At 63.1% G+C, this 27533-nt stretch overlaps 2 protein-coding genes and 1 long non-coding RNA gene across 7 annotated transcripts, besides 16 other annotated features; 1 reads left to right on the plus strand and 2 right to left on the minus strand.

The window, feature by feature from the left end:
- Nucleotides 217-486: a silencer, noted in NCBI's record as "silent region_17856". NCBI's record gives its function as "represses an Ori minimal core promoter by ATAC-STARR-seq in GM12878 lymphoblastoid cells {active_cell/tissue: GM12878}" and the evidence as "EXISTENCE:reporter gene assay evidence [ECO:0000049][PMID:35858748]".
- MAFK (MAF bZIP transcription factor K) lies at nucleotides 387-12728 on the plus strand. Of its 5 annotated transcripts, none has more exons than XR_007060155.1 (4): nucleotides 7132-8142; nucleotides 8834-8913; nucleotides 9626-10959; nucleotides 11984-12728. XR_007060155.1 is itself a non-coding variant. In NM_002360.4 (3 exons), the coding sequence occupies exons 2-3, from the start codon at nucleotides 8878-8880 to the stop codon at nucleotides 10058-10060; spliced, it is 471 nt and encodes a 156-aa protein (NP_002351.1). In that variant the 5' UTR covers nucleotides 387-583; nucleotides 8834-8877; the 3' UTR covers nucleotides 10061-12728. The 5 variants fall into 5 exon arrangements, 3 of the variants coding, with proteins under 3 accessions (NP_002351.1, XP_006715836.1, XP_005249908.2); XR_007060154.1 differs by having other exon boundaries at nucleotides 7132-7385; NM_002360.4 differs by lacking the exon at nucleotides 7132-8142 and adding an exon at nucleotides 387-583 and having other exon boundaries at nucleotides 9626-12728.
- Nucleotides 977-1106: a silencer, noted in NCBI's record as "silent region_17857". NCBI's record gives its function as "represses an Ori minimal core promoter by ATAC-STARR-seq in GM12878 lymphoblastoid cells {active_cell/tissue: GM12878}" and the evidence as "EXISTENCE:reporter gene assay evidence [ECO:0000049][PMID:35858748]".
- LOC100128653 (uncharacterized) lies at nucleotides 2138-4565 on the minus strand. The gene has a single exon (NR_149036.1). It is a non-coding gene; the product is annotated as an uncharacterized LOC100128653 (long non-coding RNA).
- Nucleotides 2423-2572: an enhancer, noted in NCBI's record as "active region_25493". NCBI's record gives its function as "activates an Ori minimal core promoter by ATAC-STARR-seq in GM12878 lymphoblastoid cells {active_cell/tissue: GM12878}" and the evidence as "EXISTENCE:reporter gene assay evidence [ECO:0000049][PMID:35858748]".
- Nucleotides 2423-2872: a biological region, named in NCBI's record as "Sharpr-MPRA regulatory region 13805".
- Nucleotides 2498-2792: an enhancer, noted in NCBI's record as "tiled region #13805; K562 Activating DNase unmatched - State 1:Tss, and HepG2 Activating DNase unmatched - State 1:Tss". NCBI's record gives its function as "activates a minimal TATA promoter and a strong SV40 promoter by Sharpr-MPRA in K562 cells, with weaker activation in HepG2 cells {active_cell/tissue: HepG2 | K562}" and the evidence as "EXISTENCE:reporter gene assay evidence [ECO:0000049][PMID:27701403]".
- Nucleotides 2763-2872: an enhancer, noted in NCBI's record as "active region_25494". NCBI's record gives its function as "activates an Ori minimal core promoter by ATAC-STARR-seq in GM12878 lymphoblastoid cells {active_cell/tissue: GM12878}" and the evidence as "EXISTENCE:reporter gene assay evidence [ECO:0000049][PMID:35858748]".
- Nucleotides 5290-6233: an enhancer, noted in NCBI's record as "H3K27ac-H3K4me1 hESC enhancer chr7:1575241-1576184 (GRCh37/hg19 assembly coordinates)". NCBI's record gives its function as "activates a minimal SCP1, AML or CMV promoter by ChIP-STARR-seq in naive H9 embryonic stem cells {active_cell/tissue: H9 hESC(naive)}" and the evidence as "EXISTENCE:reporter gene assay evidence [ECO:0000049][PMID:30033119]".
- Nucleotides 6234-7177: an enhancer, noted in NCBI's record as "H3K27ac-H3K4me1 hESC enhancer chr7:1576185-1577128 (GRCh37/hg19 assembly coordinates)". NCBI's record gives its function as "activates a minimal SCP1, AML or CMV promoter by ChIP-STARR-seq in naive H9 embryonic stem cells {active_cell/tissue: H9 hESC(naive)}" and the evidence as "EXISTENCE:reporter gene assay evidence [ECO:0000049][PMID:30033119]".
- Nucleotides 8122-9064: an enhancer, noted in NCBI's record as "H3K4me1 hESC enhancer chr7:1578073-1579015 (GRCh37/hg19 assembly coordinates)". NCBI's record gives its function as "activates a minimal SCP1, AML or CMV promoter by ChIP-STARR-seq in naive H9 embryonic stem cells {active_cell/tissue: H9 hESC(naive)}" and the evidence as "EXISTENCE:reporter gene assay evidence [ECO:0000049][PMID:30033119]".
- On the minus strand, nucleotides 11920-25890 carry TMEM184A (transmembrane protein 184A). The gene is made up of 9 exons (NM_001097620.2): nucleotides 25799-25890; nucleotides 24951-25169; nucleotides 20502-20667; nucleotides 19990-20080; nucleotides 19808-19883; nucleotides 19539-19630; nucleotides 18204-18373; nucleotides 17427-17624; nucleotides 11920-16866 (listed from the first exon to the last, which is right to left on the minus strand). The coding sequence occupies exons 2-9, from the start codon at nucleotides 25167-25169 to the stop codon at nucleotides 16637-16639; spliced, it is 1242 nt and encodes a 413-aa protein (NP_001091089.1). The 5' UTR covers nucleotides 25799-25890; the 3' UTR covers nucleotides 11920-16636.
- Nucleotides 14105-14254: an enhancer, noted in NCBI's record as "active region_25495". NCBI's record gives its function as "activates an Ori minimal core promoter by ATAC-STARR-seq in GM12878 lymphoblastoid cells {active_cell/tissue: GM12878}" and the evidence as "EXISTENCE:reporter gene assay evidence [ECO:0000049][PMID:35858748]".
- Nucleotides 24416-24598: a silencer, noted in NCBI's record as "fragment chr7:1594367-1594549 (GRCh37/hg19 assembly coordinates)". NCBI's record gives its function as "represses an EF-1alpha promoter that drives an FKBP-Casp9 reporter gene in an ReSE screen in phorbol 12-myristate 13-acetate-treated (for megakaryocytic differentiation) K562 erythroleukemia cells {active_cell/tissue: K562(+PMA)}" and the evidence as "EXISTENCE:reporter gene assay evidence [ECO:0000049][PMID:32094911]".
- Nucleotides 24708-25508: an enhancer, noted in NCBI's record as "H3K27ac-H3K4me1 hESC enhancer chr7:1594659-1595459 (GRCh37/hg19 assembly coordinates)". NCBI's record gives its function as "activates a minimal SCP1, AML or CMV promoter by ChIP-STARR-seq in naive H9 embryonic stem cells {active_cell/tissue: H9 hESC(naive)}" and the evidence as "EXISTENCE:reporter gene assay evidence [ECO:0000049][PMID:30033119]".
- Nucleotides 25078-25372: an enhancer, noted in NCBI's record as "tiled region #1064; HepG2 Activating DNase unmatched - State 1:Tss". NCBI's record gives its function as "activates a minimal TATA promoter and a strong SV40 promoter by Sharpr-MPRA in HepG2 cells {active_cell/tissue: HepG2}" and the evidence as "EXISTENCE:reporter gene assay evidence [ECO:0000049][PMID:27701403]".
- Nucleotides 25509-26308: an enhancer, noted in NCBI's record as "H3K27ac-H3K4me1 hESC enhancer chr7:1595460-1596259 (GRCh37/hg19 assembly coordinates)". NCBI's record gives its function as "activates a minimal SCP1, AML or CMV promoter by ChIP-STARR-seq in naive H9 embryonic stem cells {active_cell/tissue: H9 hESC(naive)}" and the evidence as "EXISTENCE:reporter gene assay evidence [ECO:0000049][PMID:30033119]".
- Nucleotides 25966-26035: a silencer, noted in NCBI's record as "silent region_17858". NCBI's record gives its function as "represses an Ori minimal core promoter by ATAC-STARR-seq in GM12878 lymphoblastoid cells {active_cell/tissue: GM12878}" and the evidence as "EXISTENCE:reporter gene assay evidence [ECO:0000049][PMID:35858748]".
- Nucleotides 26076-26165: a silencer, noted in NCBI's record as "silent region_17859". NCBI's record gives its function as "represses an Ori minimal core promoter by ATAC-STARR-seq in GM12878 lymphoblastoid cells {active_cell/tissue: GM12878}" and the evidence as "EXISTENCE:reporter gene assay evidence [ECO:0000049][PMID:35858748]".

Here is a 27533-nt window from a genome sequence, read left to right on the forward strand (position 1 = left end):
TAGAGATGGGGGTCTCACTGTGTTGTCCAGGCTGGTCTGGAACTCCTGGGCTCAAGCGATCCTCCTGCTTTGGCCTCCCAAAGTGCTGGGATTACAGGCATGAGCCACCGTTCCCAGCTGGCCTTAATGTTTTTTATGTTTATAGAGACAGAGAATGGGGGAAGGGAGGTTTCGCTATGTTGCCCAGGCTGGTCTTGAACTCCCGGCCTCCAGAGATCTTCCCGCAGGGCCTCCCAAAGCGCGGGGATTGCAGGTGCGCGCGGGGCCAGCGGCCCCCCGGGCGGGAGAGGAGGGCGTGGCCGGGGGGCGTGGCCGCGGGGCGGGGAGGGGGCGTGGCCCGGGGGGCAGGGCGGTGTGACGCGCGCGCCGCGGATCCCGGAAGCGGTGTCAGATGCTGGGGAGCCGGGCGGGCGGGTGCGGTGGCGGCGGGCGGCGCGGGGGCACTTGTTGTTCTTCGCGAAGTCGGAGCCCGAGCGCCAGGCGGCGGCGGCGGCCGAGGGGAGCGCGACAGTGAGCGCCGGCGCGAGGACAGCGCGTGCCCGCGAGGAGCCGCCGCGCGCCCGCGCCCTCCGCGCGACGCCAGGTGAGGGGCGGTGGGGCAGCGGGGCCCGGGCCGCGGCGGGGACGGGGACCGGGGCGCGGGGCCGGGGCTACCTGGCCGCTGAGTCACGGCCGCCTGGGGGCGCGGGCCGAGGGTGGCGGGGTTGGGTGCGCGGGGCCCGAGACCCTCATGCGGCCCGCGGCGCGGCCCGGGCACCTGCCCAGGTGGGCCCCGCCCCGCAGGCCCGGGGGCTTCCCCGGGACGCGAGGCTCTCTCCCCTGCACGTGCCGCCCGGGCCATGCTTGCCGCGCCGGGGGCCCCAGGGCGCGGACCCCAGACCTGGGAGGACGAGGATCCACGCGGGTCGGCGGCGCGCATCGGGCCCGCGCCTTCACACCTGCGGGGGGCGGGGCGGGGCGGGCGCCACGTGCGGGCGGTGCGGGGAGGGCGCGGGCGCGTGGATTCTCCGCGGCTTCCGCCCCAGCGTGGCTTCCGCGTGCGGCCCCGGACTGCCCCCCGCGCTTCCTCCCGGTGACGGGCGGCGCTCTGGCCCAGTGGCTGGGGTCACGCGTGCCCGGGAACGGGGTGGGGGTAACCGGGTCTCCCCACAGGCGGGATCCTGGGACTGGTGTCGCTCTCAGCCGCCCACCTGCCAGGGTTGCTGGAAGGAAGGCCGTGGGGAGGCGGGAGGGGGGCAGGTGACAGTGGCCCCAAGGCTCGTCCCTTTGCTCACGTGTGGGGCAGGGGCTCCGGCCTCTTCCCGCTCCCACTGCGTGAGTTCTTCTGTGCCTCTGTCAAGTTCAGGAAACTGTGTATGTGCCCGTGACTGTGTGTGTCTGCGTCTGCACAGCCTCTAGATCCTGGGGGGTGGGACCAGGCGCCACCGAGAAACCCAGAAAGCCAGGACCCCGCCTGGCCTTGGCCCTTGACCTGGGTCCGCCTGGGACACAGCAGTGGCCCTGCACTGCATTCTCGCGCTCACACCGTGTGTGTCCGTGTTCGCGGGGCCTCCCGTGTCCCTCTCCTGGTGTCCTGCGTCCCTGAGCATGCTGTTTTCTTGCTTCTTAAGTAGCTCTTGTAGCTGAGGCAGAAATTAGATCCACTCACCATTCATTCACCAGGTGACCCACAGGCAGCCAGCCAATCTCTGGCCAGGTGCCTGGCCTTGGGAAGATCCTGAGACTCAAAACGCCCCCCACCGCCCCCCATCGTGGTCTAGGGGATATCTGTGTGGTTCGGCTCTGGCAGCGCCCTTCCCACCCCTCTGATTCTCCAGGGTGGGCTGCCAGGTCTCTTTACTGGCACTGAGGTTTCACCGTCACGGTGTGTTGTTGTAAGGGGTTCTCCAACACAGAGTGGGGTGCCCTATGCAGCTTCTCCAAACCCAATGTCTTCAGGGACATGGAGCATTAAAAGAGCCGTGGGCGGGGTCTGGAGAACATAGGTGGGCTGTGCAGGTGTCTGGGACACACCTACACCCTATTTGGGCGTCCAGTGCCATTTATGAGAACATCTCCCTTTCTTAGGTAACCCAGTAGGAATGTCTGAGTTTGACCTTGGGAGAGGGAGTCTGCTTTTAAAACTAGACCTCTCATTATTCCAAAATAAGACATTTATTAAAGCAGAAAAACCAGGCTTCTCCTGCCTTTTATCCTTGAACCGAGCCAGGGCTTTGAGGGGCTGGTTGCCCGCAGCGTCGACTCCCCAGGTGCTGGTAAACCCGGGAGCCAGCGTTTACCGAGGGTCAGGGTTGTCGGGGCGCCAGCCTTTGTGTGCACCCGGGAGGCTGCTGTTAAGGGAGACCGTCTTCCGGGCCACTTCGCTGTCTACAAGGCGTGTGCTTTCACCCACGGGGCTCAGCGATGGCTGCGTTTGTTTACAGTCTCTGGCAAAGCTGTTTGCCACCCAGACGGAGAAGAAGTTGTGCCTGTTCTTGTCCCAGCTGTTTCTGAGTCTAAAGGTTTCTGGAGTGGACTTTCTGGGTTTCGGGTCCAGTCCACACGGGAAATGGAAATCTGGCCAGCTGAGAGAGGGCTCCGTGTGGCCGCCTTTCAACAGTAAACAGTGACTCACCGCTCCGTCCCCACCCTCCCTGCTCTCCGCGAATGGAAGATGCCTTTCCCCGCTATTTATTTTTGCTTTTTATAAGTCACAGACTCGTCATGTTTCCGCTTTCCTACAGTTTCAGGAAACTGGGAGTGTCGTCTTAAAATCATAGAGTTTTAGAGCAGGTACAAGCGAACTTGAGTGGCCACATGCCCCACCCCCCGACCAGCTGCTGTAGATGAGGAAGCCCAGGCCATGAGGTCTGCTGGCCTGTCCCACAGGCCGGTGGGGTCTGGTGTAGAGCCTTCCTGCTTCTCCGCACTGTGCGTCGGGTGTCCTGGGGAAGGTATTGGGGTGGAGACTGCCCTCTCCCTGCCCTCCCATGCGGGGCCGGCTCATCTCGTACAGCGGGGGCTAGTGTGGGGTGTAGGGAAGACCTTCTCCCTGCTTGCAAGGAGCTCACCATGCCTTGGGGAGGCCCCCTGTCCCCAGAAGGATCTAGAACCAGGCCTTGGTAGAGGGTGCTTGCCTACGCGAGGAGGAGAGCAGTGGGGAGTGTTTCTGGAAGAAGCAGGGCAGGGAACCACGTGCTCTCTGCAGATGGTGATCAGAAACCTGAAACGGCATTGGGGTGGGGGAGTCGGGGTTTGGGAGGAACCCCCAAGACTTTTGACTGCCTGTGGGGCTGTGTGGGGGGCACCAGGATCAGGGTGAGGGCATCCCATTTGGCAAAGCTGTGGTCCAGACAGGAGACGCTGGAGGCCGGAGCCTGGGCAGGTGCTGTGGGTTCAGGCGGGTGATGCTTGAGGGCTGGGATCAAGCCTGGTTGGCGCGTGGATGAGGAAAAGAGAGAGGGGCAGGGGCAACTCCGGTGAATGATGCGGTTGGGGGCTGGGGGGCATCTGGGCCCCCCGGAATGCCCCTGACTGGACTTAGAGGCTGGGAGCGGATTGAAGCCCCAGGGCGGCCGGGGGAGAACAGGATGCTGATGGGGAGCTGGAGGCCGAGGACAGGAGGATGGTGTGGTGGGAGCCAGGGCGGGGACTGGAGGGGGTGTGGTGTGTTCTGCAGTCTGCTCTCTGCTGCTGCAGCTGCCTGAGTCACCTCTGGATGTAGCGGAATGACACAGCTTCCTCAGACTGCAAATGCAAGGTGACCAGACGTCCTCCAAGCCGGGCCGACAGTCATGGCTTGCTGGAGGGCAGCCAGCCAGGGCCAGGCTGCTGGCTGGTATGGGCCGGGCTGCGGGGTGCCAAGTGGGGTGCCTCCCGCATGCTTAGTGGGGCTGTGTCCGGGACAGCCGGACAGTGGGGGCCCTCGCAGTGTAGGACCTCATCCTCAGTAGGAAGGGTGTCTGGCTGGTCTCTGGGACCAGCTGGGCTGCAATTAGTCGGTTGACACCTGTTTGACAGGCACCCACTGGGTACCAGTGCCACAGCGGCCCCACCTACCCTTGCGGCCCAGTGTGGAGGGCACCCGGCTTGGGGTCTCTGGCAGAAAGGCTCCTGGGAGAGGCGGGTACACCTTGGGTGGCCTCTGGTTTTGTGGATTGCACCTGCCGTGGGAGTCACTGGTCGGGGGGCGGGAGGGCGCTTGCTGCTGTGCTGCTGGGTTTCTGAACCCGTGTCTCTCGCACAGAGCTCCCGTCCTCCGTTCCTGGTCTTCCTCCTGCCCCTCCTCCCTCTCCCGCATCCCACATCCTCGGAGACCCGCGGAGAATAGAAGTGGAAGGGCCACTCCGTCTTGGTCAGACTGGCTGGGCAGCTGAGGGGGTGGGGCATGGAGTCTGTGTCATCATTCACCCCTTGGGCAAGAACAAGTGACCCATCCAGAGCCCCCATGCTGGCCTCGTAGAGCGAGCGGCAGCCCCGATGCGTCCTCTCATCTGGGAAGAATCAGAGCCCCAAAGCTGAAATCCCCGTTTCTCTATGGGCATCCACAGCCGGGACCGTTCAGAGGGGTCATCCAGCCGTCAGCTGCTCAACTCACTTTTGCACTCTCTCTTTTTTTTTTTCCTAAAAGATAAGGTCTTGCCCTGTCACTCAGGCTGCTGGAGTGCAGTGGTGTGATCACAGCTCACTGCAATCTCGACTTCGAGGCTCAAGCAATCCTCCCACCTCAGCCTCCCGAGTAGCCGGGACCATAGGCACATATGTGCCATCACAACTGGCTATTTAAAATTCTTTTTTTTTTTTTTTTTGTAGAGATGGGGCCTTGTTATGTTGCCCAGGCTGGCCTGAAACTACTGGGCTCGAGCATTCGGCCTCCGGAGGCGTTGCTATTACAGGCAAGAGCCACTGTGCCCAGTCCCAACTTGGTGGAGAAAATGTTCCCTCCTGGACCCCAAAGCAGGTCCTTCTCAGCTTGTGCCAGCACAGCAAGAGGTGCCAAGGCTGCCAGCCCCCCACTGAGCAGGGTCAGGCCCATGGGTGACCAGTGAGTATTTGCTGGGACTTAAAAAGTTAAAAATGGCCGGGCATGGTGGCTCATACCTGTAATCCCAGCACTTTGGGAGACTGAGGCAGGAAGATCACTTGAGTCCAGGAGCTCGAGACCAGCCTAGGCAACATGGTGAGACCCTGTCTCTACAAAAAAGTTTAAAATTCTCTGGGTGTGGGGGTGCCCACCCGTAGTCCCAGCTGCTCGGGAGGCTGAGGCAGGAGGATCGCTTGAGCTCAGGAGGTCTGCAGTGAGCTGTGATTTCACCACTGCACTCCAGCCTGGGTGACAGAGTGACACCTTGTCTCTAAAATGAAAATTAAAAGGGAAAACATGATCCTCCAGAAGCTGAGGTGGCTGCCTGGGGATCACCTGCTCCTGAAAGCACAGTTCTGGACGACTGACCCTGGGCTGCCTGCCCTGCCGGGGGGAGCCCAGGGCTCTGATCCTCACCCTCTGCAAGGTGCCTTCCTGGGCGGAGCCGCCCTGCCCTGCGCTTTATGGAGCCCAGGCCCTCAGTCTGGATCCTGGAAAGGGGCGCCCGGCGTCCTGGCTCCGTCACTCATCCCCAGCTGCAGCCGCAGGAATTGCCTCTGTCTGAGGCTGCTGGCAGTTCCTTTTCCTTGAGAGGAAGTGATGCCCCCGCTGAGCCTTGTTTAGTTCTGCGTCACGTCGAGGTGTCTGGCCTTGGGTTGAAAACCCTGCCTCTTCCATCCGAAAACCAGTTACCTGAGAGCTGTTCCAAGTTATAGGTGGTGCCGGAGAACTTTGCTGCCCGGCGCTGCTCCCGGGACGTGGGGCGTGAGCGCTGCACCCTTACTTACGTCGGCTGCTGGGGCCCCACAGCGGAAACTCAGACCCGCCCACCCAGGCCCCCGCTGTGGCGCTGAACACTGCACTTCTCTGGTGACCACCGAAACTCAGAGGAGCTCGGGGTGTCGGGTGCTTGTGCGTGGCGATGCTGGTGTTTTGTTAGCTGCTGGGCGTAAGACACAATGCGAGGACGTCGTTCCTCGGGGGCTGCTGGAGGGGAGCTTGGCTGCAGTGCTGACCAGGTGCTAATGCAGTAGCCCCTGCCTTGGGCCCGGGGTAGTGCACGGGCGTCTCTGCGACCCCAGGCACGCTTTCCCCCTGGATGACACCCTAAGGCTGCGTCTCTGGCCCTGGGGTGGGAGCGCTTTCTACATGTGCTCTGGCGGCCCTGGAGGCCATGTGAGGTCGGACAGTTCACAAAACCCCATTTAGGGCAGTCGTCATTTTTAGATCAGTTGCTTTACAAACTTTTTTTGTGCATACAAAACTCTTCTCTGAATGTCCTTCCAAAAGCAAGCTGTCATCTTTCTTGCCTCTGATGTTTAAAGCGACATTAGGTTAAGGCTACTTGGATTTATTCTGTGCATGGTGGGGAGAGGGAGGCGCCAGCACCATCCCATCCCGTGCTGGGTTCCTGAGAGAAGCTTTGCTGCTTGGCTGGGCCGTCCCGCTGCGTCGTCTCTCCAGGCGCGTGGCTGGTCCAGGCTTCCTCGGCAGAGCAGAGTCGTGACCTGCCCAAGGAGGTGGGGGGCAGGCTTGCGAGCACAGCGTGGGGGCCGCCTGGGAGCCCTGCGTCCGCCAGGTCCTCATTCTTCAGAGGGCCCCAGTGCAGGTGTGCCTCGAAGTACTGGGGTTGGAGCGGGGCACAGGCGTGCTTCAGTAGCCCTGGCAACCTTGACCTCCTGGAAGTAGTCAGCCACCCCTCCTGGGGCGCCCCCGGCTACCGTGTGCCTCCGCAGTGTCACAGGGCATCGCGGAGGCATCTTTTTAGTGGAAAGATCCCCACGCTGAACTCTGCCCCTGGCATCTGGCCGAGCCCCACACGTCACCGTGGGTCTGGCCAGACGGTCCTGTCCCCCGGACCTTCCTTTTCCGCCCGGCTGTGCTGCCACGGCGGGCAGTGGGCCCGGGGGCCCAGGAGCGGGTCCTTGCTGGGTGGGAGGCCCGGGTGTGTGGGAATGCGCGCGGCTCTGTAAACATCTGGTGACTCACCGCATAGCTATGTCGTGGCCGGCCTGTGCACTGACGTGCTCGCAGTGGAGCTGGAAGCGGTGCCCGCGGCCCCTCCCTCTGACATGGAAAAGTTTCTCATGGTGCTCCCAGCCGCCGGCATTTGCAGGTCCCCACGGTGGCGGAGGCAGCTGGGCCCCAGCCTCTCCACTGTCACCCTCACCCCAGGACGTGGTGCGAAGGAGCCTGGAGCCCACCTGGCCGTCCCCGGGACCGGCTGGTGCCATCCTGTGCCATCTACGTCAGCGCCCTGAGATCAGCTGGCCTTGGCAGGGGCAGCGGACTCGGCAGCCTGGCGCAGGACCCTGTCTCACCTGTGCGGCCCTCTTGTTGTGGGGGTTTGTGGGTTGCGGGGGTGGGGCCCCCATCGGAGGCAGGGCTGGAGGGTGGAGGGATTTGGGCCCGAGGGCTCCCTGGCCCAGGGTGTGGGGAGGGTCCTGGGCTGGCAGGGAGGACGGGATGCGGTCACCCGCCCCCATGATGCCCATGTCCAGTGGAGGTGCTGACCAAGGACACCCCCCACCGCCGTGTGCTGCTCTGATGTTCCTGTGGGAACCTGTGTCTGGTATTTGGGGTATGGGAGTGGGTGCTGTGAACCCCTGTCCCGCGAGCTGCCCGGCGCCTTCTGCCCGCCCGTCCCGGCCGCCGGGTGCAAATGGGTTTGTTGACTGCCTGCCGGCCTCGTGATGTCTGTGCAACCTGACCTGAAGTCAGGATCGCGTTTGGGCTTCTCGGTTTCCATGACAACCGTGGGGGCTGGCTCGGTCCCAAGGTCGCCATGGCAACTATCGGAGGGCTCATGCCGGGGATGCTTTGGCTGGGTTTTTCATGAATGATTAGAATGTGTGACACAATGCAGACGTGAGGACGGCGGGGGCGGCGGCGGGGACGACTCCCGCCAGACGGTCAAATGCTCGGCAGGGCGGCGGCTCCCCCACCTCCCTGGTCTCTGGCTGCGGCCCCCGGACCTGCCGCCCCTCAGGAACCCCACACCCCCTTGGGCCGCAGGGTCCTCGCTCGGGGGCAGCTTAGGTGGAGGTGGTGATGTCACAGCCGCAGCGGCCAGGGCCGTGGTAGGTGTCCCGTGGCCTGTGGGGAGGGCGGGGCGGGAGGGCGGCTGGGCCTCCACCCAGGCCCACCGTGGGGGATGGCGATGTCAGGGGCTCCCCAGAGGCCCCCTCTCGGGGATCCAGGCTGGGTCCGGAGCACCGGAGCCTTTGCCAGTGTAGGGTCGCTGTCCAGCGGGGCCCCACACTCCTCGGGGCCGGCACAGCTGTCTTGAGGGAGGGAGGTTTTGCCACCAGTCACTTTGGTCCTCGGTACGGGGCACCTTGTGCTGTGCAGGTGCAGACGTCTTCTCTGACCTCAGGGAGAGTCAGAACAGGAAGCAGCCACTGCCGGCGCCTGCTGGTCACCCCACAGTGCCGGCGGCTGCAGCCCAGGTCTGCAGGGCAGCAGGGGGCCGCACCTGGCTGCCAGGCCCTGGGGTGGGGTCCCAGCCGCTCTGTGGAGTGTGCTAGAGTGTGAGGTGCAGCCAGACCTTTCCCTGAACCCTCAGGCAGGGACAGAGGCCGGGCCAGGATGCCTCACCCCCTGGGAAGCCCCTCAGGACGGGCTGGGCCCGGATGGTGCCCCGTCTTGTTTTCATGGTGCTGTGACTGTCCACCCCGGGCTGAGAAGCATCCCTGCATGGGAGGTGGGCACCCTGTCCGGCGCTGCCGGCCCTGACCTGTGCTGGCTTCTCTGCTTGTCCATGTTTTCCAGCTACGAGTTCCAGGGAGCTCTGTCCTGGTGACCGTGCCCGGGTTATGACGACTAATCCCAAACCGAATAAGGCATTAAAGGTAAGGCTGGTTCCAAGCAGGCCCCGTCTCAAGCACAGGCGTGGGAAAGGCCCCCGGCCCGACAGCCCCTGCTATCCCAGGGCCGTCCTGAGCCTGTGATGGAGGCCTCCCTGTTGCCAGGAGGAGGGGGGCTGCTGTGGCCGAGGGATGTTCACAGGAGAGGTGGAGTCAGGATCGGGGACTGTGGTTCCAGGCGATGACTCCCAGGCTGAGGGCGTGGCAGGGTCTGCTGCCTTCCCGCCTGGGCTGTGTGTCCGCCGGGCGCTACTGCATGAGCTCATCCCCTGGCTCCAGGCGTGGGCAGCGTGGCCAGCGTGGCCTCTGGTGAACGCGATGCTCCAGCTCCCAAGGCCCGAGCCCACCTGTGCCTGGCGCTTGCCGCCTCCACAATGGCGTGTGCCTGTGGGCCGGCTCAGTCCCAGCAGCAGGACCCATGCACTCTGGGTCCTCATGGGCTCTGAGGCTGTCGGTAACCAGGAGTGACCGATGTCACCACTGGCTTTTCCCGTTCAGAAAGGGTCCTGTGGGGCCACAGCTGTCACATGGGCTGCCTGCGTGCACAGTGTCCTGTGGTCCCTGGTGCGGATGGCGAAGGCCAGCCCTGAGAGCGCAGGCGTGCAGGGGCACCGCTGGGTTCCTGGCCACCCCAGTGTCGGTCCCAGGCAGACACCCCACGTTCTCCCGCCGCTGACCCCGCACTGTGGCCCCCCAGGTCAAGAAGGAGGCGGGCGAGAACGCCCCGGTGCTCAGCGATGATGAGCTGGTGTCCATGTCGGTGCGGGAGCTGAACCAGCACCTGCGGGGTCTCACCAAGGAGGAGGTGACCCGCCTGAAGCAGCGTCGGCGCACACTCAAGAACCGCGGCTACGCGGCCAGCTGCCGCATCAAGCGGGTGACGCAGAAGGAGGAGCTGGAGCGGCAGCGCGTGGAGCTGCAGCAGGAGGTGGAGAAGCTGGCGCGTGAGAACAGCAGCATGCGGCTGGAGCTGGACGCCCTGCGCTCCAAGTACGAGGCGCTGCAGACCTTCGCGCGCACCGTGGCCCGGGGACCTGTGGCGCCCTCCAAGGTGGCCACCACCAGCGTCATCACCATCGTCAAGTCCACCGAGCTCTCCTCCACCTCCGTGCCCTTCTCGGCTGCATCCTAGTGCCGGCCGGGGGCGGGGGGTGGCGGGCGGCGGGCGGCGGGCAGGCGGGTGGGGGCACACCCCTCGTACCTGTCACTGGGATGCAGACTCTCGACATCCGAGTCCAAGCGCAGGCCCCTCGGGCGCAGGCAGCTCACACCAGGAAGAGACTGTATTGCAGGGTGAAGAGTGGGCTCCCGTGGGCCCAGAGCTGCACGCCGGTCCACAGACACACTCACGCCCGCCACCTGCTCCCCGCAGGATGTGTCTGTGTGTGGGAATTGGTATCTTGCACCCGTGGGAGTCGGGACATATAATGGAAAGGCCCTCGGGAAGTTCCGCGTCCTCTGTGGGGGCTGCCGGAAGACACGGCCCCAGGAGTCAGGCCCCTGTGGTCAGGTCTAGCATGGGGCTTGTTTTCCACTCCTGCTGTAAGCAGCCTTCGACACCTGTCCTGCCACGGCCTCCCAGCCGGTGCGGGAGCCCCTCACTGCCCTGACCGACTCCGCAGTCCCCGGGGAGGAGCATGGATGGTGTGTCGGCAGCTCCGTCCTTCCAGCTGTCCCGTTGCAGTGCCCGTGATCCGCGTCTGCCTTAGCAGGGGCCTGCGTGAGTGGGCACGGTGTGGGAGGTCGCCTGCGTGGGGTGGTGTCTGTGTGTGTGCACGCACGCCTGCCATCAAAGCAGCAGGGCTGAGGGGGTGCAGCTTGCTGGTGTTCACTGGGGGAGGGCCTGTGGGCACACATGGCAGAGAGAGTGGCTCACACGTCGTGAGGTCTCCCCTGTGCTCTGGTGACCCGAGGAGGTCGTGCAGCACAGCGCAGAAGCCCCTGCCCACGGGATCCGGCCCCCCAGACACCGACCCCACAGGCCGTCCCGGATCTCAGCGGACACAGGCAGGAGCGCCCCATCATTTGACGGTGAGCAGGACTCAGGCTGTGTGTCCTGGAGCTACTTCTCACCAACTGTGGTCAGTGCAGGGGGAACGAGGAGGTCTTTTGGGGGCCTGGCGAGGGGAAGGGCTGCTGCAGTCTAGGGAGAGGGGGTGCAGCCTGGGGGATGTTGGTGGACATGGATGTGGAGGTGGAAGGAGGAGGACGTTGCGTGGAGTGGTGGGAGGAGGCGGGAGCCGTGTGCGAGAGCAGGTGGAAAGCCTTGAGGGGCAGGACCAGGATGCAGCTGGCTTGTAGAAGAGCTCAGGAGTGAGCCTGGCACTCCAGAGGGCGCGGCGGGTGGGGAGGCAGCAGGCACCAGTCCAGGAGAGCTTCGTGGACGTGGCTCCTGCGCGCACACCCCCAGGAGCACAGCCACGGGCTGCAGGTGTGGCTGGCCTCAGCACTCAGTCCTCACCCGGAGCCTTTGCCTGCTCCTCCTTCCAAGAGCACTGAGGCACCAGTGGGCTTGGCACTCCACCTTGGGCTTCCTTTTCCTGGAGAGCCGCCTTGAGGGTCCCTCCTGTGACTGGGGTCTCTGCAGCGAGAGCCGCGGGGGTTGCGGAGCCCCTGCCTGGGGGAGCTGGCGGAATGTGAGCCGCCGGCCGGGGGCCGCCACATAAGACCTGCAAGGTGGTGCCTGGGGCCCTGGCTCCTTCTCGGCTGCCCCTGCCCACCCAGTAACAGCCCCCACCAGCTACAGAGCCCAGGCGGGTGCCAGCCACGCTGGGAGGGCAGAGGACAGACAGCCCCGGGGCTGCGACTTGGTTCTGTGTCTACTGTTAGAAGTTGAGTGGGAAGCTGCAGGCCCGCCAGGACCACTGGGTCCCTACAGAGCAAAGGCCTGCGTGTTCCCAAACAGCCGTTGCCCCCGTGGCCGTGGTAGGTAATCCATATTGGATGTCATAAGGACCAGGGGGATATTTAAAGAGAGAAACAGAAAATATATAGAGATATAAAATTATATTCACAGTTTATCTACAGATTTTTCGTAACAATCTTTCTTTTCCAGTTTGATACTGTAAATCTATCAGAGCAGAGCCGGGGGCACGGGCACAGGTGGGAGTTGGGAGCAAAGCGGAGGCCCGGGCTGCCCGCCGTCCCCCTTCATCTCCCCACGGACTGTACCAGGCAGCTGGGCCCCGCAGGACAGGCCGCAGCGGGTGGCCGGTTCTGTCCCGTCTTGGGGTTCTTGGTGTCCACGTCTTGTGGGCCGTGGGCTTCTACCTGCCCTTGGCCTGCAGTGCTTTGCTGGAGAAGGGACTCCCTGGTCCCCAGGGTGGACGGAGCCGCTGTCACCGCCCAGAGCTGGGCCGGGGAAGCACGGTGTGTTCTGCTTTTCTTTTCAGATTGTTGAAATTTCATTGTCATGATTTAATATATGGATTTTTTTATTTAAGAAAAAGACGAGGGACTCTTTGTCACGTGGGTTTGTTTTCTGTCTCCGTGCCTCCGGCTTCCCAAAGAGATCCAGGTCTTTGCGTTTCCAGGGCGTGGGGACCCCGGCCCCCTATGCCGCCACGCCGCCACACCGCCTCACCCTGGCTTCTGTGCTACTTGGCAGTTCCATTTCATTATTTATTTTTTGTGCTGCTTTTTATCATGATATAAATTATTGAAAACAGATCACATGTGGGCCCGTGTCTGGCCGCCGCCGCCCTGCCCCGTCCCTGCGGCCACCACCTAATTTATTGCCGTGCGTCCTGCTGCTGTGACTGCTTTTGTACCTTTGCAATAAAGAATTTTCTGGTTTCAGACCCTTTCGTTGCGTAGCTGGTGCTTTCAGCTGGGGCTTTCTTGGGCCAAGAACCACACCCCCCCCCCAATCCCAGGGGACCCTGCCTGTCCCTCACCGGGGTCAGGATCCGGGCACTACGTGTAAGTGGCTTTCCCGGACTGCTGGGCCGTGACCGTGAGGCTGGGACAGCCACGGGGGAGGTGCTGGTCAGGTGACCACGTCCTGGGCTCAGTCTCTGAGGGTCAGGCCGCAGTCCTGAGTGTCCCCATCTGCCCCACCCGGAGCCCCCTGTCCATGCAGCCTCTCCCTTCCAGTGGAAGGAGCAGAGAGCAGCACGGCTGTCAGTGTTCCCCTTCCCTGGGAGACATCTCGCCCAGCTTTGCTGGACTCTCAGAGGAGCCTGCAGGAAGCTGTGAGCAAGACAGGGTCTGTCTGGGAGCAGAGAGCAAAGCGCCCCTGCACAGTGGCCGGAAGCCCGTGGACTCCTCCGAAAAGCCACGGGCCTGCCCGCATGCCGTCCCCACCCCGCCCGGCCTTCCCCGTTTTTGGGGCTGAGCTGACCGAGGTGTGAACGCTGTTCAGTGCTGGACCACGCAGGGTGAAATCCCAACTCGAGTTTTTTGAGACAGTATCTTGCTTTGTCACCCAAGCTGGAGTGCAGGGGCGTGATCACAGTTCACTGCAGCCTCGACCTCCCAGGCTCAAGCAATCCTCCCATCTCAGCCTCCTGAGTAGCTGGGACCGCCGGCACGCACCACCACGCCCAGCTAATTTTTGTATTTTTTTTTTGTAGAGATGGGGTTTCACCATGTTGCCCAGGCTGGTCTCAGACTCCTGGGCTCAAGCAATCCACTCGCCTTGGCCTCCCCAAGTGCTGGAATTACAGGTGTGAGCCACTGCACCCGATCATAATCCCAACTCGCAGCATCTGTGTGGCCTGGGGCCAGTTCCCTCCTTCCCAGCCTTGCTTCCTGTGAGTTGGGTGTGGAGGTGAGTGTGCAACAGCTGGCACATAGCGCAGTGAGTGTTGAATCTGTGCTGGGGCCACAGCAGCCCGAGCTTGTCACTAGCAATGGCAGGGATGGCACTTTCCCCAGCTAAGTCAGACCTCCCTGCAGCCCACCCTGCGGCTCTGGGCCCAGCCTGCTCCTCCTGGGGGAGCCGACGGGTGTGAGTTGGGGGCACAGAGCCCCAGCCCTGTGTGGGGCTCCTGGAGGCTGCGGACAGACGGGGAAGCTGTGAAAGGAGACACCGCCCCGCCCGGCCATGCAGCCTGCACCCGGGCCAGGCCAGGGCCCCCAGGGCTTCCACCGTTTCTTGTGGATGCTGGGGATTTTCAGCTGGACCATCTCCCAGAGAAGGATACTGAGGCCAGGAGAGGCTAGAGAGCTTGGCGGGTGCGCTGGGCCCAGATACGCGGCTCCTGCCTGCCTCATGGCCTGCTCCTCTGTCGGGGCCTGTCACCGGGAAACCCCTTTTTTAGCAGCGATGACGACACTGGAACCACGCTAGTCTCCGTCCCTCCCGCTCACATGCGCCCACGCTCCCCCTCGAGGCAGGTTGAGCCCCGGCCTGGACCGCCCCACGCTGCCTTCCGTCCACGCAGAGCGGGCTCGGCCCTCAGGGCTTTCCTTCGAGTCGTGTTGGAAAGAAGCAGAAGCAGCCTCACCCGTGGGGCGGAGGCGTCTGAGGGTCAGGAGGCAGGGAGGAGAGAGGGCCTCTGTGGAGCCGGCTGCCTGGTGTCCAAGTCCCTGCTCTGTGACCTCAGGCAACTTGCTCCGTCTCTCTGGGCTCGGTCGCTGTCCCAGCTGGCTTGAGCGTTGAGCATGTCAGTTTCCTGGCACAGTCCTCGGCTGGTCTGAGGGGGCATTTGGCGGAAACTGACTTCTCCCCTGTCCTAAAGTGCAGGCCTGAGGTGTTGCTGACATAGGGGCTCAGCCCCTGACACCTCAGCCTCTGCCGCCCGGAGCCCAGGCGGTGTCTGGGTCTCCAGAAAGGGAGCCCTCGGCCACACACCCTCCAAACGCAGATTTGAGCAACTTGACCCCTATCGGGGTGGCCTTCCCCACGGCAAGGGCAGAGCAGGCCTAGAGCCCAGCCAGTGCCCCCAGCCTCCAGAAACTGCCCCTCGGCAGCAGGTCCCTGGGGACCTGCTGACAGAGTGAGACACGGGGGCCGCCTGGTGGGTCTATTCCTGTGGGGATCCAATAAGACAGGTGGGCGTCTTTGCAGCCGTGCAGGGAGGAGCTCAGCCTATCTTATCAGGCAGCCGGGCTGGGCCCTGCAGACCCACTGGCCTTGGATCCCCATGTCCTCAGCCCAGGAAGCAAGAGGCTGGGAGCTGGCCCTCTCTAGCCCGGACTCCACTGGTCTGTGCCCGCCCTGCTGAGTCCCTCGGAGACCCCAGGTCCCGCTGTTCCTGGTGACCGTGGCCATGGGTGGGGGGCAGCACGGGTGGGAGCCGCGGTCCCGGGGTGGTGCCCACTGGAGCTTCCTGTCTGCTCTCCACGCCCAGTGCCTGAGCCCCCCAGGCCTTGCCCACTTCTGCTGCCCCTGCCCCAGCCCCCACCCAACCTGTGCTGCGGGCCCCAGACACACAGAACTGACTGCCACCTGCAGGCCGGGTCACCGTACTGTCCCCTGACGGGCCCTGGGCCTGGGGGGCGCCCTGCAGTGACACCCCTCGCCCTGGGCCAGCCGTGTGTCCTCCCAGAAGCCCCCTTAGTCCCTGGGCGGCTACTGTTCTTGCGGCCGCGATTTCCGAGGCCACTTGCACGCCTCCAGCTTCCTGCGGGCAGGGCACGCGTCCGAGGCTCCTCAAACCCAGGGCCCCACCTGGCACGTGGAGGAAGAAGAGAAGGGCAGGAGGCAGGTGCCCAGGTGGGAGCCCCCTCTGTGCCCCCTGGGAGTGTCCCCCCCGCCCAGGTACTCAGGGCCCTGCCTTCGTGGCCTTGTCCGCTCGCCGCGGGTGGGGCTGGCACAAGGCCCGTTTTGGAGGAAGTGGAGGCTCCCAGGAGAAAGGCAGTGGCTGTGATCGCACAGCCCAGGCTCTGCCCTGCACTGCCCTGGACCACGAGGCTGCCCACCCCAGACAGGTGGGACCCCTTTCCCGCATGCAGACTCTGAGCAGCAGCCTCCTGTGACCCCCACCGCGTCCTGCTCCTCAGGCTCATGCCCTGCGGGAACAGAAGCCAAGACCCGGTAGAAAATCCAAGGTGTTTAAATATAAATAAGAGCGATTCCCACAGCCCCACGGTGCTGGCCAGCCTCACAGGTGCCCGCTGGTTCTGTGACCCATCCCAGGCACACGCTCCCCTGGCTGGGCGCCTGGCCAGGGCTCCCCTGTGGCTGGCGTGTGGAGACACGTGGGCCCTTCTCCACGTGCCCACGAGGGCCGTAGCAGGCTCCAAGGAGGCCCAGCCCCGGCCAGCCTGTGTGGACCCCGCCGGCCTGCGGCGCCCGGAGCTGCTGACTGTGTCAGAGCCCGGCTGCCCAGCGCCCCGGCGCCCCTCCCTCCAGCTGCCCAGCCTGGGATCCGTCCGCTGTCTGTCTCCTGAACCAGGGAGTCTGACCCACTCACAGCTCCCATGGGGTCCGTGCAGCCAAGGCCCCGCAGCCACACTCACTCTCCGCCCCACAGTGGCTCCTGGGGCTGATGGCTGGGTGATCCCAGGGGGTCCCCAGGCTCTTCCGATTGGCTCAGGTGCCCTCTCCTGCGGTGGCGGGCCCACCTGGGTGCCTGCCAGGGCCATCAGGTGCCCTGACCCCCTGGCTGGAGGGAGGATGGGAAGTGGGCTCCGAGGGCCTCACAGGTGGGCTCTCAGGAGAGGCCCCACCTTTGGCAGGAGTTGGTGGGTGGGGGGACCCTGTTCTTCCCCAGAGGCCTGGGCAGCCTGGGTCCCTACAGCACTGGCAGCCCAGGCCCCCCTACAGGTCCTCCGAGGGGATCAGCATCCGCTTCTCCAGGCTCCGGCTCTTCCTGCTCCCGCCGGAGCCGCCGCTGGGGTGGGTGCCGGGCCTGGGCGCCTCGTGCGTGGCCTGCTGCGTGTAGTGCTGGTAGGCGGGGGAGAAGTTGTGGATGGCGTCCTGCACGATGTCCTGGGGGCTCACTGTCTCCCTGATGCCGCTGGAGATGCTCTGCATGGGTGCCGGGGGGGCTGGGGGAGGGCAGTGTATGAGCCCCACCATCCCCCCTGCACTCCAGCTCCCCGGACAAGTCCCCTCCCAGGATGCCCAGGGCTGTAGCTCCTGCATGTCCAGGTCTGGCCTCGGCCAGCAGAGGGTGGCCCCAGACCCCTGGACCCCAGCCCAGCTTGCTCCACCCAGCACCGGGCCCGTCCCTGGCCAGACCCCTGACAAGGACCACGTCCCCTAGAGCTTCCGAGGGGCTCCAAGCAGCGGAGTACGCCTTTGGCTGGCCTCGGGTGGGCACCCTGGTCTCTCCACAGTGACTGATGAGAAGCCGGCAGGCCACAGGCTGTCTCCGCCCTAATAGGGGGTGTGCCTGGCAGGGGACACCCATCCCCCATCACCATTGGGGTCCGGGACCGCCTGGACCCCACACAGCCCAGGTGCCTGTCCGGAGCCGGATGCCCTTTGCCCGTCTCCCTGCCCAGCGAGCTGGCATTCCTGGGCCTCGAGAATGGCACGGACACAGACACGGTGCCCGGGGCAGGGCTGTGCGCTCCGGGTGCCCCAGCTGGAAGGCAGGGTGTACCTGGTGAATTCTCCTTCTTCTCTGCGTACACCTGGCAGGGGAAGGCATAACGCAGGGCCACGGAGGCGAACAGCATCTCCACGCAGATGATGAAGTTCTGGTAGCCGGCGGCCAGCGTGCCAGCCCCCAGCTTGTTCCCGCCGCTGGTCTCCACCTCCGGGATGACCCCGCACCGCTCCAGGATGGCCAGCAGCAGCCCTGCGGACGCCACGGCCGCTCAGCCCCAGCCCCAGACGGGGTCTGCAGGGGAGGAAGAGGCCCCAGACCCCGCAGCGGCTCCTCTGACGGGTGCTGTGACCCCGTCCGTGTAGTCTCGTCCCACCCCAGGAGACTGAGGTTCAGGGGGGCAGGGCGCCTCCAAAGTCGGGGGTCTCGGCACAGCAGGTGCTCAGGAGCTCTCCCGGGCCCGCCCTGCCACTCCAGCCCCAGATCCTGGGCCCGTGCCCTGTCTGGTGGCCATCCTCCTCTGCCAAAGTGGGCTGTCAGTGCCCTGGCCTGGCCCAGGGCCCAGTGGGGGCCAGGATTCAGGAAACACCTGGTGTGGCCTCTGTGCGACCTCTCTCCACCTGCTGGCGGGACCTCCCCACTCCCCCGTGCTGGCGGGACCTCTCCACTCCCTCATGCCCGCAGGTTCTACCCTGGCTTCCAGCTGACCTGTGCTGCAGCTGGAGAAACTGAAGCACGTGGGGGCTGGGGAAAGGGGTGTGAGGTGACCCCAGGCTCACTGGACTGCAGCCCCCACCTCGGTAGCACCCCTGCCCCACCTGCCCCACACACCTTGCCAGAACGACAGGAAGATGACGGCTTTGATGGTGAGGAACTTGAGGACGGGCTGGAAGGGCCGCAGGAGCTCCCTGGTGGTGAAGTAGAAGAGGAACAGGGCGTAGAGGGCGAGGCTGACGGAGGCGTTGTAGATGAGGGTCACATAGAGGTAGCCGCTGCGGACACTAGGACAGACGGGGGCTGTGGTCAGGGCGGTCCCATGACCCCGCCACTGTCCCCACCCTAGAGCCACCGCCGCTGCACCCTCAGCCTGGTCCCCACCCTGAGCTTGGGAGCATGGGCCCTGCAGGGATCCTGCCCCGATCTGATCCTCACTCCAGGGCCTGCAGGAGAGCGTGGGGAGCTGGGGGTGGCTGGGGGGCCTATGCAGGGGTAGGGCAGGGACGTGGCCGTTCTCCCTACCGGCCCTGCTCCTCCTCGTCCCAGGATCCTGTCCACTGCTCAGGCAGCATCCAGGCTGCCTCTGTCGGAACGCCACCTCCCAACCCCGTCCACCTGGCCACTGCCTGAAGATCCTCTGTGTGGTGGACACACAGGTGTCGTTCCCGTGTGAGTGTGTGCACATAGGTGTGTGTGCATGTATGTCGTGTGCACACAGGTGGGGTGCGCTGTGTGTGTGCACATATTGCGTGCATGTGAGTGTACATACATGTGTGGTGGTGTGTGCACGGTTTGCGCATGTGCTGTGTGCATGTGTGAACATGTGATGCACGTGTGTGATGTGTGCGCACAGGTGACAGCACATGTGTCCCCGTGTGTGAGCATCTGTGTGGTGTTGGTGAGCACCTTGGACCTTCGCAGGGGTCCAAGGGGTGAGCTGTGTGGACCTTCGCAGGGGTCCTCCTTGTGCTGGGTGGCTGCCTGTCTGTTCAGCCAACAGGTCGGGGTGGACCTTGGTCCCCTTGGCCCAGGTGCCCTTAATGCCAAGAGTGCTCAAGGCTGGGCGGGGGCTGGGGCCATCACTGCCTGGCCAGAAGCCCTGGGGTCCTCGGCGCAGATGCTGGCACAGACGCTAGACTCACCCCAGCCGTGTCCTGTGAGGGGAGGTCCAGGCCCCCGGCCTTGGCAGGCACCGAGGTCCTTGTGGAGAAGAAGTGGGTACCTGTCTTGGGCGGGGCCCCTAGCCCAGCCGGACGCCAGGCCTGCCTTGTTGGGCCCCACCGCTGGGCCCCAGGGGACCCAGTGCCCACCTCATGCCAGGTGCCCCCGCAGCTCCCACCTTACTTGAGCCCAGCTGGACGCCAAGTCCGCCTCGTTGGGCCCCACTCCCGGGCCCCGGGGGACCCAGTGCCCACCTCATGCCAGGTGTCCCCGCAGCTCCCGCCTTACTTGAAGTCCCCGTCGTGGTATTTGCCAAATGCCTGGAGGATGATGGTGGTGACGGCCATGACGGGCTTCACCAGGCAGAACTGCAGAGTGGCCTGGGGGCGACGGCACCCGGTGGGCCTGGGGCCAGGTCCCCCAGGGGCCCAGGAATGGGGATTGGGGCAGCCAGCAATGAGCAGCCCCCTGACACTGGGTGGGGTGGCGCTGGGCCGGCTAGGGCCCCTGACGGGCTTGGGTGGGAGGAGGGCGGGCAGGGCTGGGTGGCCCCTCACCTGCTTACAGAAGCGCAGGAACCCGATGGAGTAGGTCATGCCCCGGAGGCAGCAGGTGCCGTACAAGCAGCTGGACCTGCGGGGGACGTCCCTGAGCCGGTGCGGGAGAATGCAGCCCCGGCGCCGCCGGGCTCCCTGTCCCAGGTGTGTGGGGTGTGGGGGCTCTGGGGTGACGGGCTTACTTGATGGGCTTTCCACGAATCTCAGCCATGATGGCGCCCTCGCCTCCCAGGTACTGGAAACACAGGCTCAGGAAGCTGTAAATGACAAAGGCTGCAGGGAGCACAGAGGGGGACCGGCTGTGAGCCCTGAGCTGCACCGGGACCCCATGGCGCCCATCTCACCAGGGCAGGAGGAGGCTCGGGAGGGGCTGAGCCCAGCAGGCCACACAGCAAGAGGCTCCTGATGGACCCCATCCCCAGCGGGGCAGCCTGAGAGGGTCAGGGTGCTCCATCAGGGCCCTGCTTTCACCCCAGGCCAGGGCAGGTCCACCGAGCCCCTCTCACGGAGGCTGTGGGGTCAGTCGTGTGTTCCAGGCCTGCCAGCGCCGCTAACCCTGACTATCCTGGCAGCCCCTCTGACGGGCCGGGAGAGTGGGGTGCCCTGGGGACTGGCCATGGAAGAGTGTGCGTGCACGCAGGCCCCGGGGAGTCTCTCCCTCCGCTCCCCCGACCTGACGCAGCCTGGCGCCCACCTTCGTAGCAGTCCCGCACAGAGTCGAAGTAGACGTAGTACTGGTGGTCTCCGAGGAGGAGGAGGCTGAGCCAGGAGTCGAAGGCGTAGATGGGCACGATGAGGAGCAGGCGGATGATGTAACGTTGCTCCTGTGGCACGGTGTAGGAGCGCAGGTGCAGATAGATCTGGGCGCAGGAGGGGTCGCATGAGAGCCGGGCCCGCCTGGTACCCCTGGACCAGCCCAGGTGAGCCGGGAAGGAGGTGGGGGTGGGTGCAGGAGGGTTTGGGTGAGAGCCAGGTCCACCCGGTACCCCTGCACAAGCCCAGGTGAGCCGGGAAGGAGGTGGGGGTGGGCGCAGGAGGGTTCGCGTGAGAGCCGGGCCCGCCCTGGGCGCAGGAGGGTTCGCGTGAGAGCCGGGTCCACCCGGTACCCCTGCACCAGCCCAGGTGAGCCGGGAAGGAGGTGGGGGTGGGCGCAGGAGGGTTCGGGTGAGAGCCAGGTCCGCCTGGTACCCCTGCACAAGCCCAGGTGAGCCGGGAAGGAGGTGGGGGTGGGCGCAGGAGGGTTCGGGTGAGAGCCGGGTCCGCCTGGTACCCCTGCACAAGCCCAGGTGAGCCGGGAAGGAGGTGGGGGTGGGTGCAGGCCACCAGGCACCTTCTATGTTTGCATTTTCTAGTTTTCTACAATGGGCATCCTTATTACAATTAGAGAAAATAAATTGTTTGCCTATTGTAATTAGATACATACTTTTATACGTATTTACTATAGAAGTACATATAAGTATGAATGTATATGTTAAATACATATTTCTGGTTACAACTAAAAATAATACACATTTGAATAATTGACTTTTTATGGCCGGGTGCAGTGGCTCACACCTATAATCCCAGCACTTTGGGAGGCCGAGGTGGGTGGATCATTTGAGGTCAGGAGTTCAAGACCAGCCTGGCCAACATGGTGAAACACAGTCTCTACTAAATACACAAAAATTAGCCAGGCATGGTGGCGCGCGCCTGTAATCCCAGCTACTAGAGAGGCTGAGGCAGGAGAATCGCTTGAGCCTGGGAGGTGGAGGTTGCGGTGAACCAAGATTGCGCCACTGCACTCCAGCCTGGGCGACAGAGCGAGACCCTTTCTCAAAAAAAAAAAAATATTTTTTTGAGAAACATGGTCTCGCTCTCTTGCCCAGGTTTTTTTTGAGACAGGGTCTCGCTCTGTCGCCCAGACTGGAGTGCAGTGGTACAATCATGGCTCACTGCAGCCTTGAACTCCCGGGCTCGAGTGATCTGCCTACCTCAGCCTGCTGAGTATTGGGACTACAGGTGTGCACCACCTTGCCTGGCTAATTTTTGTATTTTTTGTACAGACAGGGTCTCACTGTGTTGCCCAGGCTGGTCTCAAAGTCCTAGGCTCAAGGGATCCTCCTGCCTCCGTCTCCCAAAGTGCTGGGACTATAGTCATGAGCCACTGCACCTGGCCTAAAATTTATTTTTTAAATTGGCAAATCAAAATTGTATGCATTTACAGTGTGCAGCGCGATGTCTGATATGTGTGTTCGTGGGGAATGGCTGAGTCAAACCCATTAACGTCTCCATTATCTCCCATACTTAGCATTTCTTTGCGGGGAGGACATGTAAAATGTACTCTCTTGGCAATTTTCAAGCATAGAATACATTGTTATTTATAACAGTCACCATGTTGTACAATAGGTTTTTTTTTTTTTTTTTTCTGAATAAGTTCCTTGGGCATGAGTGAGGGTCCTGTTTGTTCTTAGCCTGGGAATGGGAACGCTCACTCATTCCTTCATTCAGCAGGCGTTTCTAGAGCCCAGCTAAGTGTCCAACCCGGGGGACGGAGAGGGGACACGTCCCGGTCCTGGGCTGGGCAGACTCTCAGAAGGCACATTGGCTTTTGCTGTGGGGGCATCCAAAGGATGTGCACCCTTTGATTCCTAAGAATTTGTCCCTCCCTAGGGGCCAGGCACGGTGGCCCACGCCTGTAATCTTAGCACTTTGGGAGGCCAAGGTGGGCGGATTACCTGAGCTCAGGAGTTCGAGACCGGCCTGGTCAACAGGGCGAACTCCATCTCTACTAAAAAATACAAAAATTAGCCAGGCGTGGTGGCGGGCGCCTGCAGTCCCAGCTACTCGGGAGGCTGAGGTGGGAGGATGGCTTAAATCCGGGAAGCGGAGGCTGCAGTGAGCACTGATTGTGCCACCGGACTGCAGCCTGGGTCACAGAGTGAGATCCTGCCTAAAAAAAAAGAAAGCCTGGGAAAAAGTATGGGTGATTATAGTAGTGTTTGCCTTTAAACCTTTCTAGATTTTCCACGTTTTTATTTTTTTTAATTTTTAATTATTATTTTTTTTATTGAGACGGAGTCTTGCTCTGTTGCCCAGGCTGGGGTGCAGTGGCGCAATCTCAACTCACTGCAACCTCCGCCTCCCGGGTTCAAGTGATTCTCCTGCCTCAGCCTCCTGAGTAGCTGGGATTATAGGCGCGCACCACCATGCCCGGCTAATTTTTGTATTTTTAGTAGAGACAGAGTTTCCCCATGTTGGCCAGGCTGGTCTCAAACTCTTGACCTCGGGTGATCCACCCGCCTTGGCCTCCCACAATGCTGGGATTACAGGTGTGAGACACCACGCCTGACCGATTTTCCATGTTTTCTGTGAGGATACAACTCAACTACAGGGTCTTTGAGACAGGGTCAGCCGAGCCTGGGAGCTGGGCGCACAGGGGCTCCTGGGGAAGGCCTTCTGGAGGAGGTGCATGCGTGGCGGTGGGCGAGCAGAGGCTACGTGCACCTGGCCGCTTGGGGTGCAGCTCAGGGAGTTGGGGGAGGTTGGAGGCAGGAACAGACTCTTATCAGTCACACGCTCCCCGATGGTCCCTGGGAGGGACGGCATGACCAGCCATCAGGAGACCTCTCCCGGGGCTGGCGCTGCCTGGCTGGGTGACCTTGACAAGCCACTGTCCTCTCCGGCCTCGGTCCTCCCATGTATAAAGTGAGGGGGATCCAGCCACTCTGTGTCCTGCCTGGGACTCCTCACTCAAGGGTGACTCTGGCGGTGGGCTCAGGGGTGGGACAGGGCCTGAACTCCAGCCCAAGGGGTCTCCATGAGCCCTGTCTTGACTGCGAGGCCCCATGAAGCTAAAGCCACACTACAGCCGCGCACACACAGCCGGTTCCCAGGATTACAGCGGAAAGACGGCCTCCTCCGGGAAGCCCTCTCTGATGGCCTTACAGGAAGGGCCTGCCTCGGCACTGCCTCCGCGGCTCTGCACACTCCAGGCCACACTCATACACGTCTACCGTGGGTTCTGGTTATCTGTTCACAGCTCACTGCAACCTTGAACTGGGCTCAAGCGATCCTCCCATCTCAGCCTCCCAAGTAGCTGGGACTAACAGTGCAGGCCCCCATGCCCGGCTAATAAGCAGTTAATAAACTGTCACTGAGATGCTCCCTCGGAGACTTGTGGCCACCGGTGTCCCTGCCTGCCAGTCTCCTGATGGCCCCCTGCCCCAGCTCACCTACAGATCCATTCCCTACACCAGTGCCCCGTGCACCCGGGAAGCAGCTCTGCCCTCAGCCCAGCCCTCCACAGCCTTCCTGGGCTCCCAGCACCCCCTGAAAGCCACCTCACCGCACTGGGGTCAAGGGCTCTGGACAAATCCCTGCAGCCGTGTGGCCCTCGCGGGCCTACACACGCACTCCCACCCCACCCCTGCGCACACCGCCCTGGCCTCTCTGTGTATCTGAGTCTCTCAGGAGGGTCCTGTCCCTGACTCCCTGCCCTCTCTGCCCAGCCCCTGCCCTCGGGCACCACTTCCTCCTTGCCCCTGCCTGGCCCTTCCTTGCCACAGCGCCTGGCCGCTTCTCTACCTGGGGGCTGTTCTGTTCCCACCTGGGGACTGCTCCGGGTCGGGGGCTGTGTGTGGCTTCGGGCTTGGGGAAGTTGCTTCTCGCCCATCTCCTGCACAGGAGTCCCGGTCCCTCTAACAAGCTGTGACCTTTGCTCCCCAGCTCCCTACAGAGCAAAGTCCAACCCCCTGCCAACCTCCCACCAGCCTTCTCCAGGGTGTCACGCCTCTGGAAGGAGAAGGCCCCTTCCCCTTTCCAGCTATGTGAGCCTGGGAAAGACCTCTGGTCTCTCTGAGACTCAGTCTTCTTGTCTGTGAAATGGGACCACACTGCAGACCTCAGTGAGCCGAGTGACGAGCCTGTGAAATAGCCAGGGGTGCCCGGTGGGCGCTCTGCCCTCAGCCTGGCAGAGATCTCCCCATTTTCAGGCCCAGCTCCCACATGCCACATCCTGGGGAAGCTCATCCCCTCCCCCGTGCCCTGGCCGATCCCACTTCTGACAGCGTCTATAGCAGCGGCACCCAGGGGGACCGGGCTGAGCCACGGCCACGTCCTGTGGAGACCAAGGTCCTGAAGGAGGCTCGGGGGCGGAAGGGCTTACCTGGTGGCAGGTGAGCACCAGGGCAGTCCACACGAAGATCCCCGAGACGCCTCGGGCCAGTGCGGAGGTGAGGAAGAGCCAGGGGGCCCCCTGGGAGCTGTTCCCCATGTGGTCCATCTGCGGCCCAGCTGGCACAGCCGGTGGGGGGCTGGGCTGCGGCCAGTTCGCTGACACCAGGGGGACGCCGGCTGTCTCCAGGATCCCTGAGACATTACTCATCTGCAGAGGGAGGGAGGACACACACCGGGAGGAGTGAGGGCAAAGGTACTGGCTCCCGGCAGCAGGAAGCAGCGGGGGAGGGAGGAGACAGTGAGACGGGAGCTGAGGCTGAGCCACCCACCAGGCCGCACCCCCCACACGGACACCAGCGCCAGGCCCGGCTCCCTCCCTGCTCCGAGCTCAGCCATCGAAGCTCACCCATCAACCACCTGCGACCTGAGGGTCCCACCTCAATTCCCCCTTGTAAAACCAGCTTCCAACTCCGAGTCTCAGGCTTGCAGGGAGCCTGCTTCTTAGGGGACAAAGACCGTCTTCCAGTGGGGCAGAAGAGGGGGAACCCCTGCCGCCCTGCCTGCCCGGGAGGGCTGGGGAGCGGGCGCAGACCAGCACTGCCTGCCCCGGCAGGAGGGGGTGTGCAGCCACCCTCATGGGAGGAGCCGGCCCTCACTGGCTCTGGGACCTGTCCACCCACCTGGGAGCCCGGCTTTGCTGGGGTTCTTGGCAGCCCTGGGTGCCTGTTCCATCTCCCACTAACCTGCTGGGGCCCTGAGTCCACCCTCTCCCACACTCGCAGCCCAGTCCAGCCTCCTCCTCTCCCTCTGGTCTGCGGTCACAGGGCCCAGCTCTACCTTTGCTGGCAGGAAGCACCTGGCCCAGTCCAGGGAGGCCTGGCCTCCAGGGAAGCCTAGCTGGTCATTCTCATGGCCACGTGGCCCCAACTGGAGGCCCCACTGTGGGTGCGGCAAGGCCAGGATCTGAAGGGCTGTGCCAGGCTGGGGCGGGGCGGCCAGTGCCTCACGTCCCCAGTGGCCCACCTGGGCCCCAGGCTGCAGGCCCGTCCCCTCCTGTCCCCTCCCACGGCTGACACCCTATCCTCCCGGTTGTTTGCTGGGTGGCAGCTGGCTCCCAGGAACCTGCTGGCCGCCTGGCGCCCTCACCTGCCTATGCCAGACGGCCAGGCAGCTGCCACCTGGTGGGGACACGTGGGAGAGGTCTGCGGCAGGCCAAGGAGGGCCGGGCTGCAGGAGGAGGGGTGGAGAGCTAATGGTACAGGGTTTCTCTGGGGGGTGACAGGAGTCCTGAAATGAGGTAGAGGCGGCAGGCACACAGCACTGTGGATATACTTACCGCCACCGAATCGTTCACTTAAACCTGGGTAAATTGATGTTATGTGAATTTCATCTGAATTAAAAAAAAAATCCACGCCCCAAGAGATGAGTTGAAAACATTTGTTTTCTGGGCCGGGCGTGGTGGCTCACGCCTGTCATCCCCACACTTTGGGAGGCCAAGGTGGGTGGATCACTTGAGGTCAGGAGTTCGAGACCAGCCTGGCCAACATGGTGAAACGCCGTCTCTACGAAATACGCAAAAATTAGCTAGGTGTGGCAGCGTGCACCTGTAATTCCAGATACTCAAGAGGCTGAGACAGGAGAATCGCTTGAACTCAGAAGGCGGAGGTTGCAGTAAGCTGAGATCACACCACTGCACTCCAGCCTGGGGACAGAGGGAGACTCTGTGTCCAAAAAAAAAAAAAAAAAAAAAAGGAAATATTTCTGGTTTTTGTGGATCAAGGCAGGAGAGGGGGAGTGACAGCCCAGTCCCTGGACCCTTTGGGGTCTGGCAAGGGGTTGCGGGGCCCTGAGGGTCCCTGTCACCCCCATGCAGAGGCCCCTGTGGAGAAAAAACTCACTCACCCCGGCTCCTGGGAGAGGGATGTGGGCCCTCAGCCCACCTCTTGTCCTGTTCTGGTTACGCTTGGGCTCATGCCGCTGGGGCCACCATTACCAAGTCCCGCTCCATGCCCGCAACGGATCCACACACTCCTTGTCCTTCATATCTCCTACCCTCCCACAGCCCTGAGCAACAGGGCTCAAGGGGTTGAGGCTGGAATGACTGGAGCCACTGTTCCCCTTTTATTTTTAATTAATTTATTTTTTGAGACGGAGCCTCGCTCTGTCGCCAGGCTGGAGTACAATGGCGCGATCTCGGCTCACTGCAACCTCCGCCTCCTGGGTTCAAGTGATTCTCCTGCCTCAGCCTCCCGAGTAGCTGGGATTACAGGCGCCCACCACCACACCTAGCTAATTTTTGTATTTTTAGTAAAGACGGGGTTTCACCACGTTGGCCAGGCTGGGCTTGAACTCCTGACCTCAGGTGATCTGCCCGCCTCAGCCTCCCAAAGTGCTGGGATTACAGGTTTGAGCCACCACGTCCGGCCTGTTCCCCTTTTAGAGATGGGAACGAGAGGCGCATCAACGCGTCCAGCATCCTTGAGGGGTCCGTGAGGGGCCCGGGCTGAGGCCCATCCTTCCCTGGGACACCCTGCCTGCTTTTCCCAACTCCTCCACTGACACTGTCCCTCCA

The sequence above is a fragment of the Homo sapiens genome, chromosome 7 (assembly GCF_000001405.40).
Source record: "Homo sapiens chromosome 7, GRCh38.p14 Primary Assembly".
Classification (NCBI taxonomy): Eukaryota; Metazoa; Chordata; class Mammalia; order Primates; family Hominidae; genus Homo; species Homo sapiens.